Source organism: Homo sapiens, chromosome 7 (genome assembly GCF_000001405.40).
Source record: "Homo sapiens chromosome 7, GRCh38.p14 Primary Assembly".
NCBI classification, from domain to species: Eukaryota; Metazoa; Chordata; class Mammalia; order Primates; family Hominidae; genus Homo; species Homo sapiens.
Window position 1 is genome coordinate 25045711 of NC_000007.14, and position 18492 is coordinate 25064202.

The 18492-nt window shown below is 44.4% G+C and overlaps 1 annotated feature.

Moving 5' to 3' along the window:
- Positions 13339-13839: an enhancer, noted in NCBI's record as "H3K4me1 hESC enhancer chr7:25098668-25099168 (GRCh37/hg19 assembly coordinates)". NCBI's record gives its function as "activates a minimal SCP1, AML or CMV promoter by ChIP-STARR-seq in naive H9 embryonic stem cells {active_cell/tissue: H9 hESC(naive)}" and the evidence as "EXISTENCE:reporter gene assay evidence [ECO:0000049][PMID:30033119]".

Consider the following 18492-nt stretch of genomic DNA (forward strand, 5'->3'; position numbering starts at 1 on the left):
GGCTTGGTAGATCTTCCTCCATCCTTTTATTTTGAGCCTATGTGTGTCTCTGCACGTGAGATGGGTTTCCTGAATACAGCACACTGATGGGTCTTGACTCTTTATCCAACTTGCCAGTCTGTGTCTTTTAATTGCAGAATTTAGTCCATTTATATTTAAAGTTAGTATTGTTATGTGTGAATTTGATCCTGTCATTATGATGTTAGCTGGTGATTTTCCTCATTAGTTGATGCAGTTTCTTCCTAGTCTCGATGGTCTTTACATTTTGGCATGATTTTGCAGCGGCTGGTACCGGTTGTTCCTTTCCATGTTTAGCGCTTCCTTCAGGAGCTCTTTTAGGGCAGGCCTGGTGGTGACAAAATCTCTCAGCATTTGCTTGTCTATAAAGTATTTTATTTCTCCTTCACTTATGAAGCTTAGTTTGGCTGGATATGAAATTCTGGGTTGAAAATTCTTTTCTTTAAGAATGTTGAATATTGGCCCCCACTCTCTTCTGGCTTGTAGGGTTTCTGCCGAGAGATCCGCTGTTAGTCTGATGGGCTTCCCTTTGAGGGTAACCCGACCTTTCTCTCTGGCTGCCCTTAACATTTTTTCCTTCATTTCAACTTTGGTGAATCTGACAATTATGTGTCTTGGAGTTGCTCTTCTCGAGGAGTATCTTTGTGGCATTCTCTGTATTTCCTGAATCTGAACGTTGGCCTGCCTTGCTAGATTGGGGAAGTTCTCCTGGATAATATCCTGCAGAGTGTTTTCCAACTTGGTTCCATTCTCCACATCACTTTCAGGTACACCAATCAGACGTAGATTTGGTCTTTTCACATAGTCCCATATTTCTTGGAGGCTTTGCTCATTTCTTTTTATTCTTTTTTCTCTAAACTTCCCTTCTCGCTTCATTTCATTCATTTCATCTTCCATTGCTGATACCCTTTCTTCCAGTTGATCGCATCGGCTCCTGAGGCTTCTGCATTCTTCACGTAGTTCTCGAGCCTTGGTTTTCAGCTCCATCAGCTCCTTTAAGCACTTCTCTGTATTGGTTATTCTAGTTATACATTCTTCTAAATTTTTTTCAAAGTTTTCAACTTCTTTGCCTTTGGTTTGAATGTCCTCCCGTAGCTCAGAGTAATTTGATCGTCTGAAGCCTTCTTCTCTCAGCTCGTCAAAATCATTCTCCATCCAGCTTTGTTCTGTTGCTGGTGAGGAACTGCGTTCCTTTGGAGGAGGAGAGGCGCTCTGCGTTTTAGAGTTTCCAGTTTTTCTGTTCTGTTTTTTCCCCATCTTTGTGGTTTTATCTACTTTTGGTCTTTGATGATGGTGATGTACAGATGGGTTTTCGGTGTAGATGTCCTTTCTGGTTGTTAGTTTTCCTTCTAACAGACAGGACCCTCAGCTGCAGGTCTGTTGGAATACCCTGCCGTGTGAGGTGTCAGTGTGCCCCTGCTGGGGGGTGCCTCCCAGTTAGGCTGCTCGGGGGTCAGGAGTCAGGGACCCACTTGAGGAGGCAGTCTGCCTGTTCTCAGATCTCCAGCTGGGTGCTGGGAGAACCACTGCTCTCTTCAAAGCTGTCAGACAGGGACATTTAGGTCTGCAGAGGTTACTGCTGCCTTTTTGTCTGTCTGTGCCCTGCCCCCAGAGGTGGAGCCTACAGAGGCAGGCAGGCCTCCTTGAGCTGTGGTGGGCTCCACCCAGTTCGAGCTTCCCGGCTGCTTTGTTTACCTAAGCAAGCCTGGGCAATGGCGGGCGCCCCTCCCCCAGCCTCGCTGCCGCCTTGCAGTTTGATCTCAGACTGCTGTGCTAGCAATCAGCGAGACTCCGTGGGCGTAGGACCCTCTGAGCCAGGTGTGGGATATAGTCTCGTGGTGCGCCGTTTCTTAAGCCGGTCTGAAAAGCGCAATATTCGGGTGGGAGTGACCCGATTTTCCAGGTGCGTCCGTCACCCCTTTCTTTGACTCGGAAAGGGAACTCCCTGACCCCTTGCGCTTCCCAGGTGAGGCAATGCCTCGCCCTGCTTCGGCTCGCGCACGGTGCGCACACACACTGGCCTGCGCCCACTGTCTGGCGCTCCCTAGTGAGATGAACCCGGTACCTCAGATGGAAATGCAGAAATCACCCGTCTTCTGCGTCGCTCACCCTGGGAGCTGTAGACCGGAGCTGTTCCTATTCGGCCATCTTGGCTCCTCCCCCAACTCAAACTTTTTTATAAACTCAGTGTCCCTCTCCCTGGAAACTGAAACTCAGAGGGAAGATGTGGGAGAAGAAGCTGTTCGAAAGTTACCATCTGTCCTTCAAATGGGAATAATGGTTAAGGAGGTCAATTGTTCTGGACTATTGAGTATCCGCAAAGGCAGATGTGAGTGTACTCCAGTTAGTTTCCAATACTTCCAAAAACTGAAATACAAACTATGTATTTAACTATGACAGGGACACTTGGGCTCATGAAAATGTCCAGTGTCATAATTGATTTTGGCTGGTGTATCGTTGTTTTTAGAGACAAGGTCTCACTATGCTGCTGAGGCTGGTGTGCAGTGGCTATTCATAGGAGAGATCATAGTGCACTATAGCCTCAAACTTCTGAGCTCAAGTGATCCCCTAGCCTCAGCCTCCCAGGCAGCTGGGACTGCAGTTGTGTGTCACTTTGTCTGGCTGCTTGATTGGCATATCATGATGCAGTTAATAAATACCAGATCTATATTCGTTTTCCAACCTCTAACTGGTTTCTACTGCCTATTAAACACAAAATTATGATAATAGGTAAAGTTATTAAGAACTTACTGTGGGCCAGGCATGACATGACATGCTTTATATGGATTGTCTCATTAATCCTGATAGCAATACTTGACGTATGTGCTTTTATTTTCCCCATTTTACAGAGGAAGAAATGAGGCCCAGCTCACACAGACAGTGAGTGAGTGAGCCAGGCCTGAACTGCAGCAGGCTGGCTCCAGAGCCCATGCTCTTAATCACTGCATTACTGCACCTCCCATCTCTGCTTAGATGTCCCTCAACACTACAAACTCATGCATAAAACTAAGCCTACAATCTTCCCTCCAGATATACTGGAGGGTTTTTTTGGTATTATACTGTCTAGTCACTCAAGACAGAATTTTAAATCCACACACAGACCTAGTGTGGTGGCTCATGCCTGTAATCCCAGCACTTTGGGAGGCTGAAGGGGACAGATCATCTGAGATCAGGAGTTCCAGACCAGCCTGGCCAACATGGCAAAACTCCGTCTCTACCAAAAAAAAAAAAAAAATTAGCAGGGCATGGTGGCGTGTGCCTGTAATCCAAGCTACTTGGGAGGCTGAGGCACAAGAATCGCTTGAACCCAGGAGACGGAGGTTGTAATGAGCTGAGATGGTGCCACTGCACTCCAGCCTGGGTGACAGAGAGAGACTCGGTCTCAAAACAAAACAACAACAAAACCCACCCATAACATAAAATTTATCATCTCAACCATCCTTTTACGTTTTATAGTACTTTGAGTCGCTATTTTATCAATCATTCTAAAATGCAGCTTAGGAGTGTTAAGGGCATTCACATTGTTGTGAAACAGATCTCCAGAATATTTTCTTCTTCCAAATAGAAACTCTACACTGAACAACTTCCCCTCTCCCCCTTCTCTCAGCCCTTAATAACCACAATTTGACTTTCTGTCTCTATAATATTGTCTACTCTAAGTACCTCATATAAGTGAAATAATACAATAATTGTTTTTTGATGACTTATTTCACTTAATATAGTGTCCTCGGGGTTCATCCATGTTGTCACATATGACAGGCTTCCCTTTCTTTTTAAGTCTGAATAATACTCCATTGTGTGTATACATCACATTTTGTTTATCCACTTATCTATTGAGAGACATTTGGGTTGCTTCTGCCTCTTGGCTATTGTGACCCACGTTCATTGAATTTTCAATGTGCAAATATATTTTCAAGGCCCTGCTTTCAATTCATTTGGATATCACCCAGAAGTGGAATTACTGGATGGTATGGTAGATCTATTTCTGATTTTTTGTGGAACTGCCATACTGACTCCTTTTCTCTAATTCTCCATATCCCATCAGCAACCAGTGCTGTGAATTTTATCCTTTCCTATCTATGTCTTTTTGTTAGGGTGACACACTTGTCCTTCCACACATGCTAACAAATAAGGCTTGGCAGGATCAACGCCAGGACTAGGGTGCAATGAGCCAGGCACTCATCTTGGGTGCAGAGTTTTTACAGGGGTGCCAAAAAAACCCAGTCAAAAAGATAAGGAATATTTTCATGCAATATTTTAAAATATCAAAATCAGAACAAAAAATTATCATGAACTAGTGCCAAAATTTTAAATATAGCAGTGCTTTGCTGAGCTATATTGGACCCTGAAGCAAAAAGAAAACTTCGTAATACTGATCCTGTCTTTTATTTAAAATTTTGTATTAAAATAATTATGTATCTTGCCGTCTAAGCCTTTTGGCACCCCCTTAAATTTTGCACCGGAGGTAAGTATCTCACTTGCCTAACCGTACTATTGGCCCTGCCTGGGGTACTCCTGGGTTGTTTAGGATAATTATCTCAGACTAGTTCTTATGTTGGCAAAATGCTGAGGACAGTAGCTGCCTTTTGTATATTATACCGTCCTCACCATTATTCACTCACCCTTTCACTGAATGCTTTAGTCATACGAAACCATCAGAGGTCCCTAAATATTCTTTGCTTCTTTGTGCGCATATTTTGTGTTTATACAAATATGCTGCCTGAACTGCCCTTCCTTCACTTGATAGAGGCCTTATCCTTTTTCTGACCCAGCTTAGCCAGCCGCTCCTCTGAGTCTTCTTCCACACCCCCAGTTAGAATTTACTATTTACTTCCTATGTGTTTTATATTTGTTCTTATATTGTGGCACGGAACATATCCCATTGCTGTTACTTATTTACTGGTGTGTTCAAAAGACCAAAATGCTTGTTTTAAATTGGTTCTAGAACACCATTAGGAAGATAACTATGTTTATGTCCTCTTTTACGAGTCATTTTTAGTTAAATAATACAGGCAGGGTGACTCCATACAGTGGAGGACTTGGGATAGACACAATGTTATTGCCCAATGGACTGTGAGTTCCCTGAGAGCAGGAATTATGTCCCCTCCATCCTCAGTACCTAGTAGGCATGTGGTAGGCTTTTAATTTGAATGGAATTTGGACTCCAAGTACTAGCACTGTTATATCACCTTAATCCCACTGGTGAGTGGTGGTAGATGCCAGTCAGTGGAACAAAAGAAACAAAACATTACTATTAAAAGCTGTTTGAAAGACAAATTATTTTTTAAATAATAAAGAACTGGCTGGGTGTAGTGGCTCATGCCTATAATCCCGGCACTTTGGGAGGCCAAGGCAGAAGGATAACTTGAGCCCAGAGTTCAAGACCAGCTTGGGCAACACGGCAAGACCTCATCTCTACATAAAATAAAAAAATTAGTGGGGTGTGTTGGTGTACACCTGTAAACCCAGTTACTTGGGAGGCTGAGGCAGGAGGATCACTTGAGCCCAGGGAGTTCAAGCCTGCAGTAAGCTATGATCACAGCACTGCATGCCAGCTTGGGTGATGGAGTGAGACTCTGACTCAAAAAACAAAACAAAACAAAACAAAAAAAAAAACACCTATATGGAAAGATAATCCAATATTAACTTAGTGGGAGGCTGGCTAAGGAGAAGGTTTGTGAATTTATGCTTGCTCTTCCTGGACAGAGGCTGAGTTAATCTAAAGTGAGAGGCTTTGGAGACAGAAGCACTGCATTGATTTAGGGGAATTCTTAGGGTCAGAAACGTAGTCCTCAGAGGAAGAAAAAAAGTGAGTAGCTGGCTAACCTTCCTGGGAAGCTACTAGAAAGAGAGGAAGAGAGAAAGTGTGTGTGTTAGTTGATCTGATCAAATCTCTTTCTAAACATACTAATACAGACCTCCTTGAAAGGAAACTAGCGGTATTTACTAGTGAGAGTTTTTATCTATCAAAAAAAAAAAAAAACAAAAAAAACAAAAAGCAACAACTTTTAGCAGAATGTACCTGGTCAGTCTAGGATGGCTTATGATAAATTCACCTAGAATCTATGGGTTTATAAGGCACAGCTCATTGGAAAATGCCAAATAAACTATGTAACTATTAATATATCAGTATAAAAATGAGATGTCTCTCATAAGTGGGAGCTAAGCTATGAGGATGCAAAGGCATAAGAATGATGCAGTAGACTCTGGGGACTTGGGGGAAAGTGTGGGAGAAGCGTAAGGGATAAAAGACTACACATTGGGTACGGTGTACATTGCTTGTGTGACAGGTGCACTGAAATCTCAGAAATCACTGCTAAAGAACTTATTCATGTAACCAAACACCACCTGTCCACCAAAAACCTATTGAAATAAAAATAAATAGGCCGGGTGCAGTGGCTCACACCTGTAATTCCAGCACTTTGAGAGGCCAAGGCGGGTGGATCACTTGAGATCAGGAGTTCAAGACCAGCCTGGCCAACATAGTGAAACCACGTCTCTACTAAAAATACAAAAACTAGCTGGGTATGGCAGCAGGTATCTATAATCCCAGCTACTCAGGAGGCTGAGGCAGGAGAATCGCTTGAACCTGGGAGACAGAGGTTGCAGTGAGCCGAGATCGTGCCACTGCACTCCAGCCTGGGTGACAGAGTGAGACTTCATCTCAAAAGAATAAAAACTAAAATAAAAATAAATAAATAAATAAATAAGATGGCCATGGGAAAAAAAAAAAAAGACGTTTCATGACCCAGGCTGTTCCTTTGCTTTAGTGATGATGATATGCATTGCTTAGAGGCCTCATGTGTAATACCTGGGCCAGAGCACATCCTAATTTGGCAAGAAAGGACCAGGGAGCAGCTTTGATAGACCAAGGTGTCCAGGATCCACCTGTACCCCACAATTACCTGTATCCTTGAAATTATCAGTAATGCTTGTTACTGGGTACGGTCTCTGATTGCTGAGAGTCTGATTTGGCTCAAAGGTGTTACCTCATGTTGAATATTGGACTATTCAAGGTAGTTTATATTCTATTTCCCTTAGTCTTTAGAAACATTGCTTCAAGTGAGATAATATTTGTGAGTCCTTAGTGCTTGATAGTGCTTGGCAGTCAGCACTCAATAGCTAATGGGTTTTCCTTTTTCTTGTTCTTCAGAAGAGGGTAAACTTGTCTTAGTCATGCCAAATAGGAAAAAGGAGAATGCCATGTGGTGAGGCAGTTGGGATAGAATGGAAAGATTCCACAAAGCATAAAAGCTCAAGATAAAAGAGCTGTTGAAGACTTACACAGCCTATCCTTCCTTTTTGGGGATTTTCCCATCAGGAGCTCTCCTCTGCTTATTCCTTGAAAATTTCCAAAAAGAAGCCCACAGGACACTCACGGTAAGGCTCTGAAGGTCATGAGCTCACCCAGGGAAGGCATCATAAGGTGCCATTCCTCGGTGAAATATGGCTTTAAGGTGAGCAGGCTCAGATACCTGATTTATTAGTGCTCCAAAAGGGAATCCGTCTTTAGGGACAGACTCACATTAACCAAACTCACAGATGCTGAAGTATACAAACTCAAGCATACATGTATTTACTTACATGAGAAATCGAGCTGTTAGGGAGGCAGGAGGCTGTTAGGGAGGCAGGACATCCCTGTCCTCTGGCTGAATCACATCACTTGGTAAGCAGGCATTCATTCAGAAATTTTTATTTAGTGCTTACTATGTATCAGACAACATTTGGAAGCAAGGAATTCAGCAGCCAATAGTATTTACAAATCTCAAGAAGAATCAAGAAATACATAAACAACAATTAAAAAAACTATCTTCAAATTAAGATTAAGTTCTACAAAGAAAATAAAGTAAGATAAGGAGATAGGGACCACTGGGTGACAAGGGCAAGGCACATTCATGAGGAAAGGCTGTCTGAGTGACTAGGACAAGCTTGTCATTCATTCCACATGAGCTGGGGCTGGGGAAATAGCAGATCAAAGGTCCTGAGGCAGGCAGACTTTGGCAAGTTTGAGGAAAGAGGGAAAACCGGAGTTATGGGAAAGTGAGGGAAGGGCGGAGTGGTAGGTGACAAAGTAGAGAAGAAAAACGTAGGTCAGACCTCACAGGACCTCAAGGGCTATCAGTCAGAGTTAGGACACTGTTCTGTGTGTAATTGGAAGCAATTGGATGATTTCAGGCAGAGGAGTCACTATAGAGATGATATATATATGAATATATATGTAAATTATATAGATGTCTGTCTAAATGATATATAAATATCTATAAATGATTTATAATATATATATAAATGATACATAGAGAGAGAACGGGAAGGCAGCGTGGAGGCAGGTAGAGCAGTTAGAAGGCCATTGAAGTGGTCCAAATGGGAGATGACAGGGTTTGCATTAAAAAGCCACAGTGAAGGCCAGGTGTGGTGGCTCATGCCGGTAATCCCAGCACTGTGGGAGCCCGAGGCGGGTGGATCACGAGGTCAGGAGATCAAGACCCTCCTGGCTAACACAGTGAAACCCCGTCTCTACTAAAAATACAAAAAATCAGCCGGGCATGGAGCCACGTGCCTGTAATCCCAGCTACTTGGGAGGTTGAGGCAGGAGAATCACTTGAACCCAGGAGGTGGAGGTTGCAGTGAGTTGAGATCATGCCACTGCACTCCAGCCTGGGCAACAGAGTGAGATTCTGTCTCAAAAAAAGCACCACAGTGAAGACAGAAAGACTCAAAAAACATTTTGAGGTTCTGCTGACGGGGCTCCTTGATTGGATGTAGAGGAAAGGAAAAGATCAGGTATGCCTCTTGGGCTCGGATATTCAAAAAAAAGGATATTAATGCTGCATGATTTGCACGGTTTAGGTATCTGGGCAATCACCTGCTGACTCCTCTGTCCCGGCCTCCAAGTCTAGAGAGATGGATGGGCCAGGATGCTCTTCCTCTGGGCACAGTAGGGGTGGGTGGGCACTGCCAATACTCCCTTTGCGACCCTCTTTTCCTTTCCATTCATTTAGTTCATTCAACCACTATTTATTAAACACCTACTGCATGGCTAATGGTGTTTTAGGTCTTGGGAATGTAGCAGTGGGGAAACATCACCATCAAATAGCCACAGTTTTTTCAGAGAGTTAGTGCTCTGTGGAAGACAGCCATTCCCCATCCCTCCTTCTCCTGGGCCCTGCTTCCTTCAACATACACTCCCCCATCTGCCATAAAGCTTTCTTTGGATTCTCTCTCTCTCTGAGTGCACCACCCACCCGCAGGCTCCACGCTGGGCAGCCTCCACAGTCTTATGCAATCAGTTTCCCCAGGCACCCTCCATGGCTCCCCTAGTCATGGACATTTGACTCTCCTGAGTTGTTTTCAGTCTGGTCTGGTAAATCAAAGGTCAGTCACCTTGCACATGAGGTGGGGCTGGAACAATGTATGGAACAGAGCTGAGAGATCACAGGAAGCAGCAGAAATCTGGATGAGTTCAGTGCAACCCAGGAAATCCTTCTAAAATATTATTACCTCTGTGTCCAAAAAGCCAGCCTCACTCTCATTGTCTCCTGCATCTGAGTCACCAACATTGTAGAGGGGATTGTTTCTTCCTAATGATTGGTACTGACCAGACCTAGTTTGTAGAACGGTCCTCTCACAGATACCCGGCCCATCCCTCTCCCCAATCACATTTTAAAAAGTCACGTTTATGTTTGCACAACATTTTGCAAGTTAAAACATGTGTTCACTTATTTTACAAGACCTCATTTCATCTTTAAACAACACTGAGGAAGCAAACGGTGAGGAGACTGATATGTCATCTGAACACATAAGTGGCTTGTCCGAGGTCACAAAGTCTATACATTCAGTGGTATTTTTACTGAAGTATATTACCCTTTTGTCCAAAGCTTTTTAAAGTGCATGTTCTCAGTAACTTTCATAACTCCATGAATATGCACATATCTGCTCTATCTGAATATGGAAAATGCCCATAATCTCAATGTACGCAGCCCACATTTGCTCTTCTCTAAGATGTATTCCTGGAAACTATCTGATAAAGTGGATCCAAGTTTCCCATAGAAAAATGCAATCTCCGAGAATTATGTTGCTAACTGGGGACCGAGTATCAATTGAATCATAGATTAGAATCAGAGCATGTTGGAAAAGCAGTGCTGTACCAACTAGAAACTTCTCAAGTCATTTGATTTACCACTTAAAATAGTAGATAATGGAGTTTTAGAGCTGGAAGGAAACTTTGAGGTCATCTAATGCAACTCATTTATTTTGCAGTTAAGCCCTGCAAGAGCCAGAGAGGTGAGGCAAATCCTGCAAAGTCATACATGTCTCCAAGGCAGTGAAGGAACTGAGACCCGAGGAAGCCTCTGGTTCCTGCCTGGTGCTCTTTCCACCACTCCACTCCCCTGCCTTACAAAAGTCCTAATTTGACACATCCCAATTATTTGAAGGACCTCAATGTTGCTGTTATTTTGTTTCCATTCCTGATTCTTTTTTCAGAACTCGAGATACAAATTATATTCAGAGATTTTAAGCAAACTGGTTGATGAGTCTTCACAAATGTATACACCTATGTAACTACCACCTTAATTGAGATATAGAACATTTCCATCACCCCAGAGAGTTCCCCCATGACTCCCCAGCAATCATTCCCCATTCCCCCACCTGACCAGAGGCAACAACTATCCTGCTTTCTACCATGAAAGGTTTCTGCCCCCATGTAGAACTTCATATAAGTGGAATCATACAGTATATAGCCCATTCAGTCTGGGTTTCTTTCACTCCACATGATTTTAAGATTCATCCATGTTTTTGCACTTATCAGTAGTGCATTCTTTTTAAAAACAATTATCCTTTTTCATTGCTGAGTAGTATTCCGTTGTATAGACATCACACTTACTTGTTGATAAACACTTGGATTGTTTCCAGTATCAGTTATTACGAATAAAGTTGGTCGGAACATTTTTGTATAAATCTTTTTATGGACCTCTATTTCATTTCTCATACGTAAATGTCTATAAAATTTCTGGGTATTAGGGTAGGTGCATATTTAATTTTATTAAGAACTGCCAAACAGTTTTTCAAAGTAGCTGTGCTCTTTCACAATCCACCAACAATTTATGAGAGTCCACTTTCTCCACATCCTCACTAACATTTGTTTTCCCAGTCTTTTTAATTGTGACCCTTCTAGTGGGTGTGGAGTGTTATTTCATTATGACTTTAATTTCTGTTTCCCTGATGATTAAGACAGTTGTGCATCTTTTGATGACCAATGCTTTATTAAAAGCACATAGGATAATTTATTAATTTAACCAAATGAATAGCAAGCTAAAGAGTGATGGTTTTACTAGTCTTCTCAGATTAAAGTGCTTCTGCAGGGAAGTTGGGATATTCTAGTTTTCTTTTCATAGCTCTCCAGGCCAAGCTCAGCTGATATTTTCTTTTCTATCAACAAATTACTTGTGGCAAGCAGAGATATTTAGAAGTATGCATTAGTGATTCTTTCTAAAGTAGTTGCTGTGCAATTAAATATTTGATGATTTCAGTAAGGACATTAGTTATAAAAATTTAAAAGAGGCAGCAATAAAGTGTGGGGAAGGTATAGGCTTTGAAGCCACATACAATTAGACTTGAATCCTGGCTTACCAGAAATTTACAAGTTTTCACTTTCTTGCCTATAAAATGGAGACAAGGATACCTCTTATATCAGTTCCTTATTGATGCTCTAACAAGTTACCACCAGCCTGTTGACTTAAAAGAAACGAATGTATTGTCTTATGGTTCCAGAATTCAAAAGTCCAAAACGGGTCCCTCTGGGATAAATTCAAGATGGTGGTGGGGCTATGTTCCTTCTGTATTTCCTTGCCTTCTCCGGCTTCCAGAGGCTGCCCACACTCCTTGGCTAATGGCCCCCCATTACATCTTCAAACCCAGTCATGGCAGATGGAGTCTTTCTCACCACACATCACTCTGCCTTTGCTTCCGTGGTCATAGTTCTTTGTCTGGCCCTGACTCTCCTGCCTCGCATTTTCTTTTTCTTTCTTTTTTCTTTTTTTTTTTTTTAAGACAGAGTCTCACTCTGTCTTCCAAGCTGGAGGGCAGTGGTGCGATCTCGGCTCACTGCAACCTCTGCCTCCTGGGTTCAAGCAAGTCTCTGCCTCAGCCTCCCGAGTAGTTGGGATTACAGGCACCTGCCAACACGCCCAGCTAATTTTTGTACTTTTAGTAGAGACGGGGTTTCACTATCTTGGCCAGGCTGGTCTTGAACTCCTGACCTCGTGATCCACCCGCCTTGGCCTCCCAAAGTGCTGGGATTACAGGTGTGAGCCACCGTGCCCGGCCCCCCTCACACTTTCATCTGTAAGGGCACTTGTGATGACTGTGGGCCCATCTGGATAATCCAGAAAATCTTTCCATCTCAAGGTCTTTCACTTAATCGTATCTGCAAAGTCCCTTTTGTCATGTAAGGTAACATATTCACAGGTTCTGGGGATCAAAATGCAGATACCTTTGGGGAGCATTCTTATTATTGTGTGAACCACTTTGTAAGGTTGTTGTGAGGATTAAAAGTAAAGAAATATAAAGGACCTGGCTCGTAGAGACAGTTCAAGAAATAGATACTGATATTATAAGGTGAGTGGAGCTCAGCAACTACCGTTCCCTTCCCTTCCTCCCTTGGAAGGGTCTGGAGAACAGGGGTCTCTTGCCTCTTATTTTCTTGCCAGTCTTTCCTCTGTTTACATCAGTATGGCAACACTGGCAGAGGAGAGGGTCCAGATGGGGAGTAGCAGAGTTCTGGAGGAGGAGGAGAAAAGCAGTCAAACCCTTTTAGCTTGGCGATGATGATGAGCAGTGAAGGGCGTGCCAGGCATTAGCATGTCCTCCTGAGGGTACACCTGACCATGGCAACAGCAATCAAACAGGCTTTCTCTGGCTTGAGGCCCAACCTGCAGACTTGTGGGACCCCTAACCCTCACCCCTTCTGATCCCAGCAAGTTCTGGGGCAATGAACAAGCTCTCCCTGCTTGCACTGCAGAATCCACTTTTTTTCTCTTTTTTTTGAGATGGAGTTTCGCTCTTGTCACCCAGGCTGGAGTGCAATGGTGTGATCTCAGCTCAACAAAACCTCCGCCTCCTGGGTTCAAGTGATTCTCCTGCCTCAGCCTCCTGAGTAGCTGGGATTACAGGCATGTACCACCACGCCCGACTAATTTTGTTTTTGGATTTTTTTGTTTTGTTCTGAGACAGAGTCTCACTCTGTTGCCCAGGCTGGAGTGCAGTGGTATGATCTCAGCTCACTGCAACCTCCATTTCCTGGGTTCAAGCAATTCTCCTACCTCAGCCTCCCGAGTAGCTGGGATTATAGGCACCCACCGCCATGCCCAGCTAATTTTTGCATTTTTACTAGAGACAGGGTTTCACCACGTTGGCCAGGCTGGTCTCTAACTCCTGACCTCAGGCGATCCGCCTGCCTCAGCCTCCCAAAGTGCTGGGATTACAGGCATGAGCCACCGCACCTGATCCAGAATCCACATTTCTAACTGCTGCTCCCCCAAAGTCGGCCCCACCTGTGCTCTCTGTCACATGCAAGGCAGCTTCCTTCCTCCTCTGCTGACATGCTGACAGCCTCAGAGAAGCCTGTGACACTGTGGCCAGGTCCTGAGCCCAGCCACCATCAGACCCCTGCACACGTAACCCTCTCCAGGCCACCACTTCTGTTACCTACTCTGGGCCCCAGGTGACATCTTTACCACCATGGCCCCTATGCTAGTTCTGCAGGACTGTGGGACCTGGCCTGGCCTCATCTTGACCAAAGTCGCCAAAGCCAGGCCTCATGATCGTCCCCTCCGCCACCTGCTCCGACCACACTGCACAATACTCAAGGTGCCATTTGCATCCTAGTGGCTGTATTGTGTGTGTATTTACTAAAACCACTTTCCAGTAGATGACAGTCTAGAGCCTTGGGGAAACAGAGCCTTTTCTAATTCACAAAAAGATGCCATTAGGGCTAGCAGCAGGGTCCCAGCCAAGGAGGGCGGCATGAGAGCTTACTACCTCTCTCCTGGAATGCGTGAGGCCGAGTCAGCCTTGAGGACCCATGCTGTCTACTCCGGATGTCATCTCAAACACAGGGGACCCAGGGAGAAGGTACAAACACTGACCAGCACAAAGATGCCCGGCATCCCTCCCACGAAGGAAGGACATGCCCCTGCTGTGCTGTCCCCGCCCCCAAGTCCCTATCCCTCCTTTTTGTCCCTTGCATGGCACCTGCTAGAGAAGTTCTCTGTCTCACTGTGCCACATGAGGGAAGAAACCTCCCAGCCCCCCTGCCTGCCCCACCCCCGTCACTGATTTGGATCAGGGATTGGTGTCATTTTCTCAGGTAGTAAAAGATCCTTTTCTGGCTCCATGGCTCCAGAAGGCACTGCAGTCAAGGGGAGCCCTCACAGGCCTTGGAGAGCAACAGGCAAGGGTCTGCTGCATGGCCTTGAATGTACTCAGAATGACACAGGAGGCATGAGAAAGCTCAGACTGCCTCTTTTTTTTTTTTAGACGGAGTCTTGCTCTATTGCCCAGGCTGGAATGCAGTGGTGTGATCTCGGCTCACTGCAACCTCTGCCTCCTGGGTTCAAGTGATTCTCCTGCCTCAGCCTCCTGAGAAGCTGGGACTACAAGCGTGTGCCACCATGCCCAGCTAATCTTTTTGTATTTTTAGTAGAGATGGGGTTTCACCACATTGGCCAGGCTGGTCTTGAACTCCTGACCTCAAGTGATCCACCCACCTCTGCCTCCCAAAGTGTTGTGATTACAGGTATGAGCCACCATGCCTAGCCTGCTTGTTTTTATAGACTGAGTCCCACTGAGCAAAGACTGTGAAATATTCAAGCGCGCAGCCCGGAGCACTGTGACAGCTTAACTGTCACTCACCGCCCCCAGGAGGCTGCGCTGTGTGGTGTGGCAGGGAGCCACCGACCATGAAGGCTCAGGCCACCAGGAGAATGGTGAGACTGTCACCTCAGAGAGAACGAGTTGTCAGTCGCTCATTAGGTCAATTAGTAGCCGCGTGGATTAGTGGAACAGGTGACAGCAGAGAGAGACGATTTCTGTGAAGAACACAGTCTGTGGGGAATGAGCTGGTTAGTGACTGTCAAAGACATTAATGATGACGTTTCCAGCTGGCCATGAGTGGCAACTCAGCAAACAGCAAAGACATTCCTGTAATGGCGAAACCTTCCAGACTCCCTTCCCTCTTTCTCTCAAGACTTTGAGTTGATGAAGACGTGCATGTGCTCACAAATGTGTATGCACAAACACACGCTCCGCACCAGCGGGGATCCTATGAGACCCTTCGGTCTTGTGTCCTAGACCGTGTTGTCAGAGAGTAGTTTTAAGAAGATACCCCATTTCTTAGGGGGGTTTTTGGACATGGAGTAAGTCTCAGTTATAGTTTGAGTCACATTGCTCTCTGTAAAGATTAATAGCTATAACAGTGATATAGAAAAGAAGTATAATAATAATATAATGACATAATATCATCTGACTTTATGTACTTCATGTTCTTCTACCACTATGTCACACAGAAAAGGAACTCTCTGTCCCTTGACTCAGGGATGGGTGCTCTAGGCCAACGCTGTAACCATCCGTTATCCCCCGTACATTATCCCATATGAAGCTATCAATATAAGGGGACCGTGAAGAAAAACAAATAGCAATGGCAAAGAGCTTTGTAAATAATTAAATACCAACCAGTCATCCTGGTAGTGTTCTAAAGGAAAATAGCCTTAGGTGATTAGCTTGCACCATAAATAAGCCACCATAAAAATCTGTTAGCATCAGTCTCCCCCACCCCTAAATTGTTCTGTTTCTAAAAAATGTCGCTGTGCTAAACTTAACGGAGTCGAGCAGAGGTTTCAAAACAAGTGGATAGAAAAGCCTTAGAACAGGTTCTTAAGGCAGGAACAAAGCGTGCAATAGTAACATTTAATGGCACTAACTCCTTCACAAAGTCATTTTGTGACACTGTTTTTTTTTTTCTTGACCTTTTAGCTGATATTCAGACTCATGCTTCTCCTGGGGAGACCCCCTTTCCCCACACCTCATATCATCTCACCCCCTGGCAGGAAACTGTACCCAAGAGATTTTCCCCCTATCCTTTTAACAACTATGATAATTAGCGCATAATCCAAAATGTTGAAAACCACCTACATTTTTATTTACTTGTTTTCCAAAAGAACAAGCCAGGTTCAGTAGTTAATTTTTGCTGTCTGTCTTCTGGCTGAGTGAATCCCACCTTACCTTACAGTTACAAATTGGCAGGTTAGTGGTTGACTCTCTCTCTTTAAACAAGGAGAGGCAGCTTGCACTTTTTGTCACTTTGTTTTCTGGCTTATTTGATTATTGCTTAAAAGCAACTTATGGTTATATAACAAGAAGCAGGTTTTCCCTCTCCCAAAGAATGTCAGATCCTGAGATAGGAAATGGGATCCGGCTCTAGGGTGAGAAGAGAGAAAGGGATCGATCCCTCTACCGTTAACCTCCAGATGCATAGGTTGGGGGAGGGGCGGTTCCTTAGGACTCCTTGGGGTGCAGCTAGAAACCTTTTGTGCATCCAGCTCCCCCAGCCCTGAGGGGGTGTCTTGAGGGTAAAGGACTCCTTTAAAGGGGCTTATACTCAAAGAATAATGTCATTAGATGGTTACAGCGCTGGCCGAGAGCACCCATCCCTGAGCCAAGGGACAGAGAGTCCCTTTTCTGTGTGACATAGTGGTAGAAGAGCAATGGCAGACCAGCGACTGTGATCTTAGCAGTGGTTCTAGGTCATCAAACTTTTTATGTGGATGGGCAGAGATCTTATCAGATTACAAGGTTACAAGTTATCAGTGGAGATATCTCTGCCCAGGGCACCACAGGTGCCCTGACAGTGGCTAGAAAGAGGATACCAGATGGCCCGTATTTCATTATGGCTTCATGAGGGTGCTGGGGAGAATGGTGGAAAGTCTCTTGTAAGAATCAATTTGCCCCTGGAAGGAAGCTTTGAAAATAATTGGGGTGATAGTTTAGAAAAATGACTAGTGAGCTTGGAAATCATAACAATGCTGTTGTGAATTTCTAACAAAGTAATTTTGAATTGTTTTCAATTGGCTGGTAACAAGAACTAAATATTTAAATGCAATACATTTAATGGATGTTTTTTGAGAAAGCTTTTGTAAGATGATGTTGTAACTGTTGGTGTTGGTTTATTGTTGAAAGTGTTAGACTGAGAAGGTTAGAATGTTGGAAGCATCTGCATGTAGGTGATGAGAGTATGTGGGAAATATGTGAAAGTGATTGGCTGGCTTTGGACCAGAGGTCCCCAGCCCTGGGACCACAGACTGGTATTGGTCTGTGGCCTGTTAGGAACCCGGCTGGACAGCAGGAGGTGAGCTGCGGGTGAGCAAGCGAGCGAAGCTTCATTTGTATTTACAGCCGCTCCCCACTGCTCACATTACTGCCTAAGCTCTGCCTTCTGCCAGATCAGTGGCAGCATTAGATTCTCATAGGAGCATGAACCCTATTGTGAACTGCACATGCAAGGGATCTAGGTTGCGAGCTCCTTATGAGAATCTAATGCCTGATGATCTGTCACTGTCAGCCTGAGACTGGACCATCCAGTTGCAGGAAAACAAGCTCAGGGCTCCACTGATTCTATATTATGGTGAATTGTATAATTATTTCACTATATATTACAGTGTAATAATAATAGTAATAAAGTGCATAATAAACATAATGTGTTTGAATCATCACGAAACCATCCCCCCATCCCTGGTCCATGGAAAAATTGTCTTCCACAAAACCGGCTCCTGGTGCCAAAAAGTTTGGGGACCGCTGCTTTAGAGGCTCAGGAACAAAATTCCTGGTCAGTACAAGGTAATGCTCTGTTTAACACACAGCAACACTGAAAGCAGGTCAGAATATCCTGAGGAAGTCTTAACTTCCAGTTCCCAGAGTCTATCTCCAGCCACAGCCAGCTATCTCCAAAAGAAATATTGCCTTTTCTTTTTTTTTTTTTTTTGAGACGGAGTCTTGCTCTGTCACCCAGGCTAGAGTGCAGTGGCCAATCTTGGCTCACTGCAAGCTCCGCCTCCCAGGTTCAAGCCATTCTCCTGCCTCAGCCTCCTGAGTAGCTGGGACTATAGGCGCCCGCCACCACGCCCAGCTAATTGTTTTTGTATTTTTAGTAGAAGACGGGGTTTCTCCGTGTTAGCCAGGATGGTCTCGATCTCCTGACCTCATGATCTGCCCGCCTCAGCCTCTCAAAGTGCTGGAATTACAGGCATGAGCCACCGCGCCCGGCTGAAATATTGCCTTTTCATTCATTCATTCCTACTGACTGTCCTTTATATCTCAGCTATTGGTCAGGTGATGGGGATACAGCATTCATCAAAGTCTTGTCCTCATGAAACATATATTTATAGCAGAAGAAAAACAACAAACATGTTAACATACAGCCTA